The sequence below is a fragment of the Homo sapiens genome, chromosome 2, assembly GCF_000001405.40.
Source record: "Homo sapiens chromosome 2, GRCh38.p14 Primary Assembly".
Classification (NCBI taxonomy): Eukaryota; Metazoa; Chordata; class Mammalia; order Primates; family Hominidae; genus Homo; species Homo sapiens.
In genome coordinates, this window is record NC_000002.12 from 232,079,415 (window position 1) to 232,095,989 (window position 16,575).

At 39.0% G+C, this 16,575-nt stretch overlaps 1 protein-coding gene across 5 annotated transcripts in view; it reads left to right on the forward strand.

Annotated features, from left to right (window-relative positions):
- The window catches only part of DIS3L2 (DIS3 like 3'-5' exoribonuclease 2), a 382,638-nt gene that overhangs the window by 117,702 nt on the left and 248,361 nt on the right, over window positions 1-16,575 (forward strand). For all 5 annotated transcript variants that reach the window (NR_046477.2, NR_046476.2, NM_001257281.2 and 2 more), the window contains exon 6: window positions 8,073-8,307. Coding sequence is in view for 3 of the 5 variants with exons in the window: in NM_001257281.2 (NP_001244210.1) it covers window positions 8,073-8,307 (235 nt within the window). In the remaining 2 variants the exon portion in view is untranslated. The remainder of the gene's footprint in view (window positions 1-8,072; window positions 8,308-16,575) is intronic.

Genomic DNA, 16,575 nt, shown 5'->3' on the forward strand with positions numbered 1-16,575 from the left:
TGAAACCCCGTCTCTACTAAAAATATAAAAAATTAGCTGGGCGTGGTGGCTGGCGGGCACCTGTAGTCCCAGCTACTTGGGAGGCTGAGGCAGGAGAATGGTGTGAACCGGGGAGGCGGAGCTTGCAGTGAGCCGAGATTGCGCCACTGCACTCCAGCCTGGGCGACAGAGCAAGACTCTATCTCAAAAAAAAAAAAAAAAAAAAAAAAAAGTAAAGAAAAGAAAGTAAAGCTGGATAAGGGGCTAGAGAAATGATAGCAAGGTGGGGCTATTTCAGTTACTGTGATCAGGGAAGTGTCTCTGACAGGCAGATATTTGAGCAGAGACTTCAACAAAACAAGAGGGCAGGCCCTATGAATAGCCAGGCAGAGAGCTTTCCAGATAGAAGGATAGCAAGTGAAAAAGCCCTAAGATGGAAGGTTGTAGTATTCTAGGAACAGCAAGAAAGTCTCTGGAGTTGGAGGGTCATTTGCAAAAGAAGAAACTGTAGAACATGAGGATAGAAAAATGTCTTGATAAGGCCTTGTAGCACGGCAATGGAAGGAGGTTGGAAAGCTGTTGGGAGAATGACATGATCTGATTTGTGTTTTAAAAGAAACGCTCTAACTTTATTGGTCCAAAATGGAAATAAAGAGACCAATTATTGCATTAATTCAGCGTGGCAATAAAGGTTGTTTGGGTTTATGTAGTAACAGTGGAAATGGCAAGAAGATCCATTTAAAGGAAAGGCCACTGGGCTCTTCTGATGGATTGAATGTGGGGAATGAGAGGGAGAGGGTCAAGGGTAGTGCTGCGGTTTAGGGCTGGAGGAACTAGATGGAAGGTGATGTTATCTGCTGAGAGAGTGTGCTGGGTGAGGAGCAGGTTCTAGTGGGGATCAAGGGTTCTCTTGTTTGAGATGTCATCTGGGCAATTGAATATAAGTCTGAAGATGGGAAAGATTGAGCTAGGCACTTAACTTTGGGAGTTAATAGCATGTAGAGGGAGATTTAAAGCCAAAAGACTGCATGAAATCACCTAAGAAGTGAGTATGGATGGATCCATCATTTCATCCCTGAATACTTCAGGTATCTCCAAAAGTTAGAGATTTTTGAAAAACAGTCATAACGAATTAATGATATTCATTGTCTAATCACTATTTACATTTCTCAGATTTTTGTCTCTCCTCCTTTTTTTCCCTTTCTTTTCTTCTTTAAAAATACAGGGCTGGGCATGGTGGCTCAAACCTGTAATTTCAGCACTTTGGGAGGCTAAGGTGGGTGGATTGCTTGAGCTCAGGAGTTCGAGACCAGCCTGGGCAACATGACAAAACCCCATCTCTACAAAAAATACAAAAATTAGCCAGGTATGGTGGCGTGTGCCTGTAGTCCCAACTACTTGGGAGGCTGAAGTGGGAGGATCTCTTGAGCCTGGGAGGTGGAGGTTGCAGTGAGCCAAGGTGGTGCCGCTGCACTCAAGCGTAGGTAACAAAGTGCAGCTCTGTCTCAAAAAAAAAAAAAAAAAAATACAGTTGGTTGGTTAGAATCAGGATTAAAATAAAACCTACAAAATTGCCTTTTGTTGATATGTAACAAATATTTTAATCTATAGGCTTACCCTTTTTTCTTGCAATTTATTTGTTGGCAAAACTGGGTTATTTGTTCTACAAAATTTCTCAAATTGTGAATGTGATTGAGTGTGCATGGTAATGTTGTTTAACATGTTCCTGTGTTCCATTTCCTATATTGGATCAGGTTTAATTTTGGGGAAAAAAATACTTCGTAGGTGGTGATGTGTACTTCCTGATATAGTGAATCAGGAAGCACTTTGGTTCTTTCTCTTTTTACAATATGCATATGTATCAGTGGGTTCAGGTATTGCCTCTCTGGTCCATCCATTATAAAACTCTGGTCCACCCATTATAAAACATCCATCCATTATTATTACCTCTCTGGTCCACCCATAATAAAACGTTCATACGTTATAAAACTCCCTCTCCATCAGCTTACAACTTACTGGTTTTAGCAACCATTGATGACCATTACCTGAATCCATTATTCAGTAGGGATGGCAAAATGGCGATACCGAAAGCCTTTTTTTTTTTCTTTCTTAATTTAATTAGCTGAAACACTTGTATAAAGAAAAACTTTACCTCATCAATTACTTGGTTACCTTGAGGTACAGTTCGTACAGGCCAGGTAGAATAAATGCGTAGAATTCTCCATAGTTGACCAGAGAAGCCCCTTTATGATACTTCCTGTGTCCTTTAGACAAGACACTAGTAGCCATTGATAGCTTTCTTGTTTTCCCAGTATGACAGGAGGTTCCAGGGTTGTCTTGTCCATTTCCTGCTCCAGATTTGAATTAGCCATTTCTCTAAGGAGTCCCACACCTTTACTTTTTTTGTTTGTTTTGAGACGGAGTCTTGCTCTGTTGCCTAGGCTGAAGTGCAGTGGTGCAGTCTTGGCTCACTGCAACTTTTGCCTCCGGGTTCAAGTTATTCTCCTGCCTCAGCCTCCCCAAGTAGCTGGGACTACAAGCACATGCCACCATGCCTGGCTAATTTTTGTATTTTTGGTAGAGACAGGGTTTCGCCATGCTGGCCAGGCTGGTCTCGAACTCCTGACCTCAGATGATCCGCCCACCTTGTCCTCCCAAAGTGCTGGGATTGCAAGCATGAGCCACCGTGCCCGGCCTCACATCCTTACTTTTAACCAGTATGCAATATGAGATGGTTAGAGAGTACACAGGTTTTGAGTCCTGTGATCTCATAATGATCTTTTCCCCCCATACCTTTTGTTCTTTTCTTATGTGTTTTAGGATAATAACATAGAATAAAATGCTTTAAAGAAGTAACACATTAATTTATATTTTAATTGCACAGTTTTGAATGACTTAATTTATTAAGTCCTATTACCTCAGGAGTCTCCAGCCCCTGGGCCATGGACTGGTACTGGTCTGTGGCCTGTTAGGAACTGGACCACACAGCAGGAGGTGAGCAGTGGGCAAGTGAGCATTACCGCTTGAGCCCCGCCTCCTGTCAGATCAGCAGGGGCATTAGATTCTCGTAGGAGCATGAACTCTACTATGAACTGTGCATGCAAGAGATCTAGGTTGCATGCTCCTTATGAGAATCTAATGCTTGATGGTCTGAGATGGAGCAGTTTCATCCCGTAACAGCCCCCTACTTCTGGTCTGTGGAAAAATTGTCTTCCACAAAACCAGTCCCTGGCACTGAAAAGGTTGGAGACTGCTGCCTTGTAGCATTTTTTGGTTTAGTAACTCAAAAGTGAATTTAGTCCCTACAACACTAATTCTTCAGTATAAACCATGAAGATTATCACAAAATCAGACGTAGGTTAGTTTTTGAATATGCTCTACAGTTAAGCTTGCTGTACTCTGGTTGTTGCTTTCCACTGATCTTCTGTATTAGTCCATTTTCATAATGTTGATAAAGACATAACCAGGACTAGGCAATTTACAAAAGAAAGAGGTTAATGGATTCACATTTCCACGTGGCTGGGGAGGCCTTCCAGTCGTGGCAGAAGGTGAAAGGCACATTTCACATGGCGGCCTACAAAGGAAGAGGACTTGTTCAGGGAAACTCCCCTTTATAAAACCATCAGATCATGTGAGACTTATTCACTATCATGAGAACAGCACAGGAAAGACCCACCCCCCCATGATTCAATTACCTCCCACCTGGTCCCTCCCATGACACATTGGAATTGTGGGAGCTACAAGTCAAGATGAGATTTGGGTGGGGGCACAGCCAAACCATGTCGCCTTCTCTTCCCATTCTCTTCTTAAACTTCGTATGCATGAGCCAAAGCATAAATTATTAAGTAAGTAGGCAGGCAGAATCACGCTGATTACAATTTATACCCCCCCCCCCCCCCCCCACATATACATACATGCAGAGAAAGACCTTTCACTGTGAGAAAGTTCAACCTGCAGATTGTATAACAAAGTCAGAATTCTGGTACCTATGATATTTCTCCGTGGTTGGTGGGAACCAAATCCTTTGTGGAACCACTAGTGGCAGAAATAAATACAAAATAGAACCTAAAGGCCTGAGCTCTTTGCATAATGTCTTCTTCTTCTTTTTTTTTTTTTTTTGAGACAGAGTCTCACTCTGTTGCCCAGGCTGGAGTGCAGTGGCATGATCTCAGCTCACTGCAACCTCTGCCCCCTGGGCTCAAGTGATTCTCTTGCCTCAGCCTCCTGAGTAGCTGGGATTACACACGTGTGCCACCACACCCAGCTAATTTTTGTATTTTTAGTAGAGACAGGGTTTCACCATGTTGGCCAGGCTGGTCTTGAACTCCTGACTGCAAGTGATCTGCCTGCATTGTCCTTCCAAAGTGCTGGGATTACAGGTGTGAGCCACCACGCCAGGCCCATAATGTCTTTCCAGGAGACTACCTTTTACCTGCTAGACCAACTGCAGCATGACAGTTGCTTTCTTGCCCAGAACTTCTCTCTCTGAGATAAAGTATGTATGGGGATGATACAGGAAAAACCATTAAACCCGAGATTGTATATAGCCACCATGCTTTAGACATAGGGTATACACCTGTGCCTTCTGCCTGTGCTTAGGCTGCTCTGACAGTACCCAAGGTTGTATTAGTTCTTTGAGGATGGTCAGGGGCAGATGTTCCTAAATATTTCTGAATTTGCCAGGCATATTTAAGGAAATTGAATGAATTTGTTGATTTGAGTGATATCGGATTCTTTTTCTGCTGTAACTTGTCAGTAAATTTTCTTATTTTTGGATGATCTTCTTTGGGTCAGTTATGAAAACAAGGCTTATGTGGTAAAGCAGAAGTGCAGATGGGGGAGCTGGTTTTTTAATTGTACAGGCTGTGTATTCCTTATCCAGAATAAGGAATTCTTATCCAAAATAAGGTCCTTTTTGGGACCAGAAGTGTTTTTTTTGGGTTTGGGATGTTTTTCGGATTTTGGAATATTTACATTATACCAGTTGAGCATCCTAAATCCTAAAATCTGAAATCTGAAATGCTTCACTGAGCATATCTTTTGATTGTCATGTTGATGCTCAAAAAGTTTCAGATTTCAGACCATTTTGGATTTTCAGATTAGGGATGTTCAACCTGTGTATCAGTGCCCTAGCTGTAGCTTCACTCACATGAGCTCTTGCAGGAAGGGCCCTGCGGGAATCTTTTTGGAGATTGCTGGCCTGGCCAGTAGAACTTTTTTGTAGTATTAAAGAGAGGGAGATATGTCTGTTTCTAACTTCCCATTGACAGATGAATGGACAAATGAATGTATGAATCTGACATGAGTCAAAACAAGCAAAAAAGAAAATTTTATTAAATATACTCAGGGACTGGGAACCAAGTTTTTAAAAAAGTTTGCTCAAAAGTTTTGAGCACAGTTTTGCTCAAAAAAAAAAAAGCATTGTTTACAAGTTTTTCTATTACTATATTTTTATGGAGTCAATTTTTACAAACTGAGGATATATTCTTACCTTTATTCTGATCGTTCTTTGTAATATTTTACTTTGGTTTTCTGAGTTGATATTATAATATTAATTGTCTAGGAATGGTTATGTTAATTGAACCTACTGTATTAAAATGCTTTAGGAAAGATTTAATAACTTTTTCTCTCTTGTATAAGGTGAAGATCTTTCACTAAGCATGATCTTTGTGTTACTTTTAATTAGAACATTAGACCTATCAAATATAAACATGGTGAAACTGCTAGAGCTCTCTTACTTCATTCAGGTCTCTGCTCAAATGCTGCTTCCTCTAAGCAGTATTTCCTAATCACCCTACTGATAAACTAGGCACACCCTCTCCATTATTCTCTCATTTACTTAACGAGCTTTCTCATTCTTTCAATATATTTAATTGCGCTTCTCACTAGTCGACTTTTGATTGTGTTCACTGTTCTGCCCTTGGCACCTAGAACAGTTTCTGGCACCATGAAAGGGACTCCATAATGACTTGTTGAATGAGTAAATTGTTCATCATTTGTCACCCCACTAGGATGTAGGACTCATGACGGTGCCTGGCACGAGGTGGGCATTCCAACATTTGTTTGAAAGAATAAAAGGAATGTTTACAAGTAGTGATCAAATTCATTTTTTATATTTATGTATATACAGGTGATCATTTAAGTTTTAATTATATGTTTAAATTGAACATAGGTATTTATCATATAGAAATAGATTATTAAAAAGGATGCAGTATTCAAGTAACATCCAAGAACCTACAAAATCTGCTGCTTTTTTGCTAATGTGGATGGGCAGATTTACATGTAGGGTCACAATTTTTTTCAGTGACTCAATAACACCTGGTGTATTTTAATATAGTGTCCATAGACATCAGAGTGCTGTATGTGACAAACTCATAAAATGGATTAGTATCTGGATTGGTTTTTTATTTTATTTTATTTTATTTTTTTTAGAGCTAGAATATCCCTTTGTCGCCCAGGCTGGAGTGCTGTGGCGTGATCATAGCTTACTGTAACTCCTAACTCCTAGGCTCAAGTAATCTTCCCACTTCAGCCTCCCAAGTAGCTAGGACTACAGGCGCCCTGCCCCCCAACTATGCCTGGTTGATTTTTAAATTTTTTTTAGAGGCAAGGTCTCAATATGTTGCCCAGGCCGGTCTTAAACTCCTCCTGCCTTGGCCTCCCATAGCTCTGAGATTACAGGTGTGAGTCACTGTGCCTGGCCTGGATTTTTTTCCTCTACTTGCTTCATTAGTATTGTAGTGTAAATGTCCATCAGTGTGTGTGTGCTTTATACGTATATACGTATATATACACACGTATAGACGTGTATACGTATATATACACACGTATAGACGTGTATACGTATATATACACACGTATAGACGTGTATACGTGTATATACATATACGTATATATGTATACATATATACATATGTATATGTATATGCATATGCATATGTATATATACATATATGTATATATATGTGTATATGTATATGTATATGTATATGTATATGTATATGTGTATATATACATATACATGCAGAGAAAGACCTTTCACTGTGAGAAAGTTCAGCCTGCAGATTGTATAACAAAGTCAGAATTCTGGTACCTGTGATATTTTCTCCATGGTTGATGGGAACCAAATCCTTTGTGGAACCATTAGTGGCAGAAATAAATACATAATAGAAACTAAAGGCCTGAGCCTTTAAATATATATATATATATGTGTGTGTGTGTATATATATATATATACACATATATATATATGTATATATATATATATGTGTGTGTGTGTGTGTGTATATATATATTTTTTGAGACAGAGTCTCGCTCTGTCACCCAGACTGGATGGAGTGCAGTGGTGCCATCTCGGCTCGCTGCAAGCTCCGCCTCCTGGGTTCACACCATTCTCCTGCCTCAGCCTCCCAAGTAGCTGGGACTACAGGCACCCGCCACAACTCCTGGCTAATTTTTTTATATTTTTAGTAGAGACAGAGTTTCACCGTGTTAGCCAGGATGGTCTCAATCTCCTGACCTCATGATCCGCCCGCCTCAGCCTCCCAAAAGTGCTGGGATTACAGGCTTGAGCCACCGCGCCTGGCCAATAAAGCTTTATATTTTTATAAGAACATTTTATAAACTCTTGTTCACACTTAATTTTGTTTTTTTTCCACTTCATCTTGTATTCTTGTGGTTTCCTTGGTTTCCTTTAGGAACACTGTGGCATACTTTGTTGAGTTCTTTTATCATTCCCTAACTTACTAATTGTTCCTATATGGTGAGGGTTTATGAAGCAGCATGGTACTACTTCTGGTATTCAGGGCCTTTGGGGAGAGGGGATGAAAATGTAGATCAGAAATATGAGAAGTGGATAAGGCATTAATTTGGGGCATCCTGAAGAGCTGAGTGTCAGCCTGGCTTTGCTGGATTGATTATGTGCATTAGGTGGTCTGTGCTTCTGGAAAATAAAGATCCTTTTTTGAACTACATGATTAGTGTCCAATACCGTTAGCTTCTGAATATGCAGTTTCTTCCTTAGAAAAGAAAAATCTGCTCTTTTTTTTTTTTCCTCTCTCAGTGATTTAGCAGAATTTTTCTGTTTTCTTTAGGTAGTTAAACCAGAGAGCAATGACAAAGAAACAGAAGCTGCGTATGAATCAGATATCCCCGAGGAGCTCTGTGGACACCATCTCCCGCAACAGTCCCTGAAAAGCTATAATGACAGTCCTGATGTCATTGTAGAGGCTCAGTTTGATGGCAGCGACTCAGAAGATGGACATGGCATCACACAAAATGTGCTGGTTGATGGTGTTAAGAAACTCTCAGTTTGTGTTTCTGAGAAAGGTGAGTACTAGACTATTGTCTTACTTTTTTTTTAAGTACACTGATTAAGTATTGGAATTCCCTCTCTGCTGCAGAGTAAATAACACAATGCCATTGATATAGTCCTAATTTTTGACCTGTGGCAGCTTTCAGAAAAGGGGGATCTTTGACAGGTTTAGCTGCTGGTTATGAAAGAGGGGATGAAAGTGCTTCCAGCGGTTTGTGTGGGCAGTAGTTGCAGTTGCCACATTCCTAATAGGCTTGAGCTGTGTTGCTGGTTAACGTTGACATCTCTTGCGATAGGCGCAATCCTGTGGATGATGTGAACACAATTAAACTGGTATGTAAAATTCATATGAAAAATCACTTTATTTTACTTTCAGTTTTACTTTAAATATCTTTTAGAAGTATTTTTGTCGGCTGGGCACAGTGGCTCACGCCTGTAATCCCAGCACTTTGGGAGGCCGAGGCGGGCGGATCACGAGGTCAGGAGATCGAGACCATCCTGGCTAACATGGTGAAACCCTGTCTCTACTAAAAATGCAAAAAAATTAGCCAGGCGTGGGCCGGGCGCGGTGGCTCACGCCTGTAATCCCAGCACTTTGGGAGGCCGAGGTGGGCGGATCACGAGGTCAGGAGATCAAGACCATCCTGGCTAACACGTTGAAAGCCCGTCTCTACTAAAAATACAAAAAAAAAAAAAAAAAAAAAAATAGCCGGGAGTTGTGGCGGGCACCTGTAGTCCCAGCTACTCGGGAGGCTGAGGCAGGAGAATGGCGTGAACCTGGGTGGTGGAGCTTGCGGTGAGCCTAGATTGTGCCACTGCACTCCAGCCTGGGTGACAGAGTGAGACTCCGTCTCAAAAAAAAAAAAAAGTTTTTTTTGTCATTTCTGGTGGGCATGGATCACCCAAAATTTTATAAACAAATAGCCTTAGAAAGTATTTTGATTCTAAGCCTTTTAAAAAGCCAGTTTTGTTTTCTCTGATTGAAATCTAAGCCATGGGCCCTCTGGATGCAGAAAAAAAGCAGTTGTAAACACATGAGAGCTGTGACCACGGACCCTACCTGACCACACTTGAAGAGACTTAAGGAAAATATTAAGTACAATTTGAATATTTCAAGTTAGAGATTTTGAAGAAATTCTACATAGAAGGAGTATATTTTCTAGCCAAATCGAATTTTATGTATACTATTAATGGAAACCGACCAACTCTGACCTGGCCAGGCTGACTAGATAATGAGCTTTGTTATCAAGAAGAAGTTTCTGGCACAGTTCCCATGAAAGGCTAGGAGAAATGCCAGAAGATTTCTAAAGGAGGATGTTCAGCAGACAACTCGTTTAGGGACTGGTGAGCATATGTCCCCCCAGCGTAAAGAAAGCCGAAGGTATCTTCAGGACATGACTGGAGAAGGATGACTGCTTTTCTCCATTGCTGAGGAGGTAGTGATCTGTGAAAGAAAGCATTTTTTGAAAGCATGTGTCCTTTTTGGTGCCAAGTACTCATTCAGAATGACTTTCCAACTTTGAAATTCTTCTTGACTGAAGAGGCTACTACTTCCTGTGTCAGGTACTGCTATGGGCCCCACCAGGTATCACTGCCTTCAGGGTACCCAGGTTCCTTTTGTTTGGGGACACGTTTAGGTAACTAGTGGTTTCCCTGTTTAGAGCTCAGCCAGTTCCTTTTGGATGCTATTCCTTGACATTTTATTCTTGCGATTTTTCTACTTTCTTTTCTTTAAAAATAGTCGAATACTGTGACATTCCTCTTAAAGTAAATGTGTATTATCGTAATCACATCAGTACTATGAGTCATGTATTTTCAGTGAGAAGAGTGGCAAATAACCAGGACTCTAAGTAGCCAAATCCTTCATTAACAAGATCAGCAAGGAAGAGAGATATTCACAGGATAAAGCCAGGCAAAGGAACACTTTAAAGCATATTGAGTATTTGGCTTAAAACTACTTCGTGGAAACCCAGCTCTGGTGATAGGCTTGGCAGATCTCAGCAGCCTCTTTTCCTCTGGGCTCCAAGTGAAGGGATAAGACACATTGATCTCTCATTAGTGGTTGGTACAAATATAAGGACAAGGAAATACTGATGGATGGAAGTGACAGCAGAATGGATGTCTGGGTTGGATGCTAACGGTTTACTTTGCTGGCATCCAACCCAGAGTTTTGCGAAACTCTGATGCTATACCTCCTCTTGATTCACCCTCTATTATAATTCTTCCCCCACACTCCTTTTGAGATAGGGTCTCACTTTTTTGCCCAGGCTAGAGTGCAATGGTGTCATCATAGCTCACTGCAGCCTTGTCCTCCTGGGCTCAGGCGATCTTCCTGCCTCAGCCTCCTGAGTAGCTGGGACTAAAGTGTGCACCACCACACCCAGATAATTTTTGTTGTTGTTGTTGTTGTTTTTTAATACAGCCCTGTTGTTGCCAGGGCTAGTCTTGAACTCCTGGCCTCAAGCGATCCTCCTGCTTTGGCCTCCCAAAGCGCTGGGATTACAGGTGTGAGCCATTGTGCCTGGCCCCTCCCTCTTTCTTACAAGTAAATATCACTGAGTACGTTACAAGCCCGCTGTATGCATGTTTCTTTCCTTATTCTTTTTGCATCCTTCCTAGCCCACTGTTATTTATATTACTTCCTTAGTAGCCCTGACTGAGGGAACAACCTTAATCCTTCCCTCAGTATCTGGTACAGATTTCTCTTTCCTGCTAGCCTCTAAATGGAGAGTTTGTGAAACCACATGGCTGTTTCTCATTTCTTGCCCTCTTGATATTTAGGAAAATTGCAATTTGCTCTTTTGAAAATCACAGCATTTTTAAGGATATTTCAACCATCTTCTCTTACTTGGGATAATAAAAAAAATCTGGTTACCATTAGGATGTTAGTACTTTTTGCACTATTTAGGGTTTTGAAGTTTGTTATTGAAACAAACCATAACCTTGAGAATATCAAACTTTTCCTAAGACTTCTAGAAAGGTTCTTTGCTTTGTGTTCTACTTGCAAGTGGATTATTAATCCTGGTTCATGCTTGTGTTCAAAAGTGTTTTTTTGTTTGTTTTTGCTTTAGTATTATGTTTCTTTGCCCAAAGCAAATGCTCTATATTGCATGTGTATTTATAGCATATACCTATTTGCTGAGGAAATATTTATATCTTTGTGATAACTACCAGTTTCTCTGGTAAGAGAGCACATTGCTCCCGTTGTCTGTAGCAAGTGCCTGTCATTGCGTTAAGAGAAACATCTCAGCATCTCAGACATTCATACAGTAGTTTCTTTGAGGACGACTACACAGGTCTGCATTATCCCCAGCCCCTGAGAGAGAGTGGGCCAAAGACCTGGGCCCCTTTTAGAGATCCACTCCCCAATCCCCCTTTGAGATTGAACTTTTACCACTTTACAAGCAGTAGCTTTGTTGTTAGCATAGAAAGCTGCCATCCATGTGGAGCTTAGGGACAACCAATTAAAATTTTCTTGGTATCAAATGCGTAAATGGCTTTAAAAATGTTCAGCTGTTGTGCTAGGAAATAGTAGGTCTTATTCATTCTTTGTAACTATCTTTTTTTACCCATTAACCATTGCCACTTCTCCCCACTTACTACCCTTCCCAGCCCCTGGTAATCATCCTTCTACTCTCTATCTCCATGAGTTCAGTTGTTTTAGTTTTTTAGCTCTCACAGATAAGTGAGAACATATGAAGTTTGTCTTTCTGTGCCTGACTACTTCACTTAACATAATGACCTCCAATTCCATTAATGTTGCAAATGACAGGATCACATTTTTTTTAAATGGCTGAATAGCACTCCATCGTGTATATCTGCCACATTTTCTTTATCCATTTGTCTGTTGATGGACACGTAGGTTGTTTCCAAATCTTGGTTATTATGGTTAGTGCTGCGAGAAACATGGGAGTGCAGATATCTCTTTGATACACTGTTTTCCTTTCTTTTGGATATGTACATAGGAGTGGGATTGCTGGTATGGTAGCTATTTCTAGTTTTTTGAGGAACTTCCAAACTGTTCTCCATACTGATTATACTAATTTACATTCTCACCAACAGTGTATGAGGGTTCCCTTTTCTCCACATCCTCACCAACATTTGTTATTGCCTATCTTTTAAATAAAAGCCATTTTAACCAGGATGAGATGATATCTCATTGCAGTTTTGACTTGCATTTCTCTGATCATCAATGATGTTGAGCACTTTTCTGTAAACCTCTTTGCCATTTGTCTGTCTTCCTCGCTCAAGAAGTCTTTGCCCAGTCCAATGTCCTGGAGAGTTTCTCCAATGTTTTCTTTCTGTAGTTTAATAGTTTGATGTCTTAGATTTAAGTCTTTAATCCATTTTGATTTGATTTTTTATGTGAGAAGAGATAGGAGTCTAGTTTCATTCTTCTGCATATGGATATCCAGTTTTCTCAGCACCATTTATTGAAGAGACTGTCCTTTCCCCAGTGCATGTTATTGGCACCTTTGTTGAAAATGAGTTCACTGTGGATGTATGGATGTATGTATGGATGTATGTATTCTGGGTTCTCTACTCTGTTCCACTGGTCTGTGTATCTGTTTTTATGCCAGTACCATGCCGTTTTGGTTACTATAGCTCTGTATTATAATTTGAAGTCTGGTAATCTGATTCCTCCAGTTTTGTTCCTTTTTCTTGAGATAGCTTTGACTATTTTGGATCTTTGTGGTGCTGCATAAATTTTAGGATTTTTTTTTTCTATGAAGAGTGTCATTGGTATTTTGTTAGGGACTGCATTGAATCTGTAGATTGCTTTGGTATTGACATTTTAACAATATTGATTCTTCCCAGCCATGAATGTGAAATGTCTTTAAACATTTTTGTGTCCTCTTTAATGAGATTCATCAATATTTTATAGTTTTCATTGTATAGATCTTTTACTTCTTTGGTTAATTCTGAGTTATTTAATTTTATTTATAACTATTGTAAATGGGATTACTTTCTTGCTTTCTTTTTCAGATTGTTTGCTGTTAGCATATAGAAATGCTACTGATTTTTGTATGTTGATTTTATATCCTAAAAGTTTACTGAATTTTCAGTTCTAATAGTTTTTTGGTGAAGTCTTTAGGGTTTTCCAAATATAAGATCATACCATCTGCAAGCAAGGATTATTTGACTTCTTCCTTTCCAATTTGGGTGCCCTTTATTTCTTTCTCTTGTCTGATTGCTCTAGCTAGGACTTCCAGTACTGTGTTGAATAACAGTAGTGACAGTGGGTATTCTTGTTGTGTTCCAGACCTTAGAAGAAAGTCTTAGTTTTTCCCCATTCAGTTTGATATTAGCTGTGGGTCTGTCCTATGCAGCTTTTGTTAGGCTGAGATATGTTCCTTCTGTACCCAGTTTTTCAAGGGTTTTTATTATGAATGGATGTTGAATTTTATCAAGTGCTTTTTCAGCATCAGTTGAAATCATCATATAGTTTTCTTCCTTCATTCTGTTGATATGATGCATCACATTGATTGGTTTGCGTATGTTGAGCCATGTTTGCATCCCTGGAATAAATCTCACTTGGTCATGATGAATGATCCTTTTAATGTGTTGTTGAATTTTATTTGCTAGTATTTTGTTGAGGATTTTTGCATTAATATTCATCAGTGATATTGGCCTGTAGTTTTTTTTAAATATATGTCTTTATCTGTTTTTGATATCAGGGTAATATTGCCCCTGTAGAATGAGTTTGGAAGTATTCCCTTCTCCTCTGTTTTTCAGAATAGTTTGAGTAGGATTGGTATTAATTCTTCTTTAAATGTTTGGTAGAATTCAATAGTGAAGCCATCAGGTCCTGAGTTTTCTTTGTAGGAAGACTTTTTATTACAGCTTCAATCTTGTTATTTGTTACTGGTCTGTTCAGGTTTTGCATTTCTTCATGGTTCAATCTTGGTAGGTTGTATGTGTCTAGGAATTTATCAATTTCCTACATTTTCCAATTTATTGGTATATAGTTTCTCATAATATCCACTAATGATCTTTTGAGTTTCTGCAGTATCAGTTGTAGTGTCTCCTTTTTCATCTCTGATTTTATTTCTTAGTCTGGCTAAAGATTTGTCAGTTTTGTGTAACTTTTCAGAAAACTATCTTTTTGTTTCATTGATCTTTTGGATTGTTTTCTTCATTTCAATTTCATTTACTTCTGCTCTGACCTTTATTATTTCTTCTACTAATTTTGGGTTTGGTTTGCTATTGCTTTTCTAGTTCTTTAAGATGCATCATTAGGTGGTTTATTTGAATTTTTTCTTCTTTTTCTTTTTTTTGATGTAAGCACTGCTTTCCCTGCATCCCATAGGTTTTGAATATGCTGTGATTCCATTATCATTTGTTTCAAGAAATTTTTAATTTGTTAACCCACTGGTCATTCAGCATGTTTTTTAATTTTCATGTATTTGTATAGTTTCCAAAATTCCTCTTGTTATTGATTTCTAGTTTTGTTCCATTGTGGTCAGAGAAGATACTTTATACTATTTCAGTTTTTTTGAGTGTTTTAAGGCTTGTTTTGTGATCTAACATATGGTCTGTCCTTGAGAATGATCCATATGCTAAGGAAAAGAATGTGTATTCTGCAGCCAATGGATGAAGTATTCTGTAAATATTTATTAGGGCTATTTTGATCTATAATGCAGATTAAGCCAGCTCTTTCTTTGTTGATTTTCTGTCTGCGAGATCTGTCAAATGCTGAAAATGGGGTGTTGAAATCTCCAGCTGTTGGCCAGGCATGGTGGCTCATGCCTGTAATCCCAGCACTTTAGGAGGCCAAGGAAGGTGGATCACTTGAGGACAGGAGTTTGAGACCAGCCTGGCCAACATAGCAAAACCACGTCTCTTCTAAAAATAGAAAAATTAGCCAGTCATGGTGGTGCGCACCTATAAATCCCAGCTACTGGGGAGGTGGAAGTGGGAGGATTGCTTGAACCTGGGAGGCAGAGGCTGCAGGGAGCCAAGACTGCGCCACTGCACTCCAGCCTGGGTGACAGAGCGAGACTCCATCTCAAAAAAAAAAAAAAAAAGAAAGAAAAGAAAGAAAGCTCCAGCTGTTATTATATTGGGGTCTATCTCTCTCTCTCTTTAGCTCTAGTAATATTTGCTTTATATATCTGGGCACTCCGGTGTTGGGTGCATATATATTTAAGATTTTTATACCTTCTTGCTGAATTGACCCCTTTATCATTATATAGTGATCTTCTTTTTCTCTTCTTATAGTTTTTGCCTTGAAATCTATTTTATCTGATATTAATATAGGTACTTCTCCCCTTTTTTGGTTTCCATTGGCTTGGAATATCTTTTTCCATCCCTTTATTTTCAGTTGATGTGTGTCTTTATAGGTGAAGTGTGTTTCTGGTAGGCAGCAGATCATTGCATCTTGTTTTTTCATCCATTCAGCCACTCTGTGTCTTTGTATTGGAAAGTTCAGTCCAGTTACATTCAGTGTTAACATTGATGAGTAAGGACTTACTCCTGCCATTTTGTTATTTGTTTTTTGGTTGTTTTGTGGTCTTCTCTTCTTTCCATCTTCCTGTCTTCCTTTTAGTGAAAGTGATTTTTCTCTGGTAATATGATATAATTCTTGCTTTTTAATTTTTGTGTATTTGTTGTATGTTTTTTGATTTGAGGTTACAATCAGTATTACAGATGCTATCCTTTAACCCATTATTTGAAACTGATAACAGCTTACTGTTTTTATAAATAAATAAGCAAAAAGAAAACTAATAAAAACTCTACACTGTAACTTCATCCCCTCACTTTTTAAGTTTCTGTTGCTTTTATTCACATCTTACAATATTATCTATGTCTTGAATAGTTGTTGTAGTTATTATTTTTAATTGGTTTATCTTTTAATCTTTCTATTTAAGGTAAGAGTAGTTTACACACCAAAGTTACAGTGTTATAATATTTCAGTGTTTTTCTGTGTACCTACTATTATCAGTGAGTTTTGTACCTTCAGATGATTTTTTATTGCTCATTAATGTTCTGTTCTTTCTAATTGAAGTACTCCCTTTAGCGTTTCTTCTAGGACAAGTCTGGTGTTGATGAAGTCCTTCAGCTTTTGTTTGTCTGGGAAAGTCTTTATTTCTCCTTGATGTTTGAAGGATACTTTCACTGGATATACTATTCCATGGTAAAAGTTTTTTTTTTCTTTAGCACTTTAAACATATTATGCCACTGTAAAGTTTCCACTGGAAAGTCTGCTGCCACATGTGTTGTAGCTCCATTGTATGTTTGTTTGTTTGTTTCTCTCTCTTTTCTTTTCTTTTTCTTTTTCT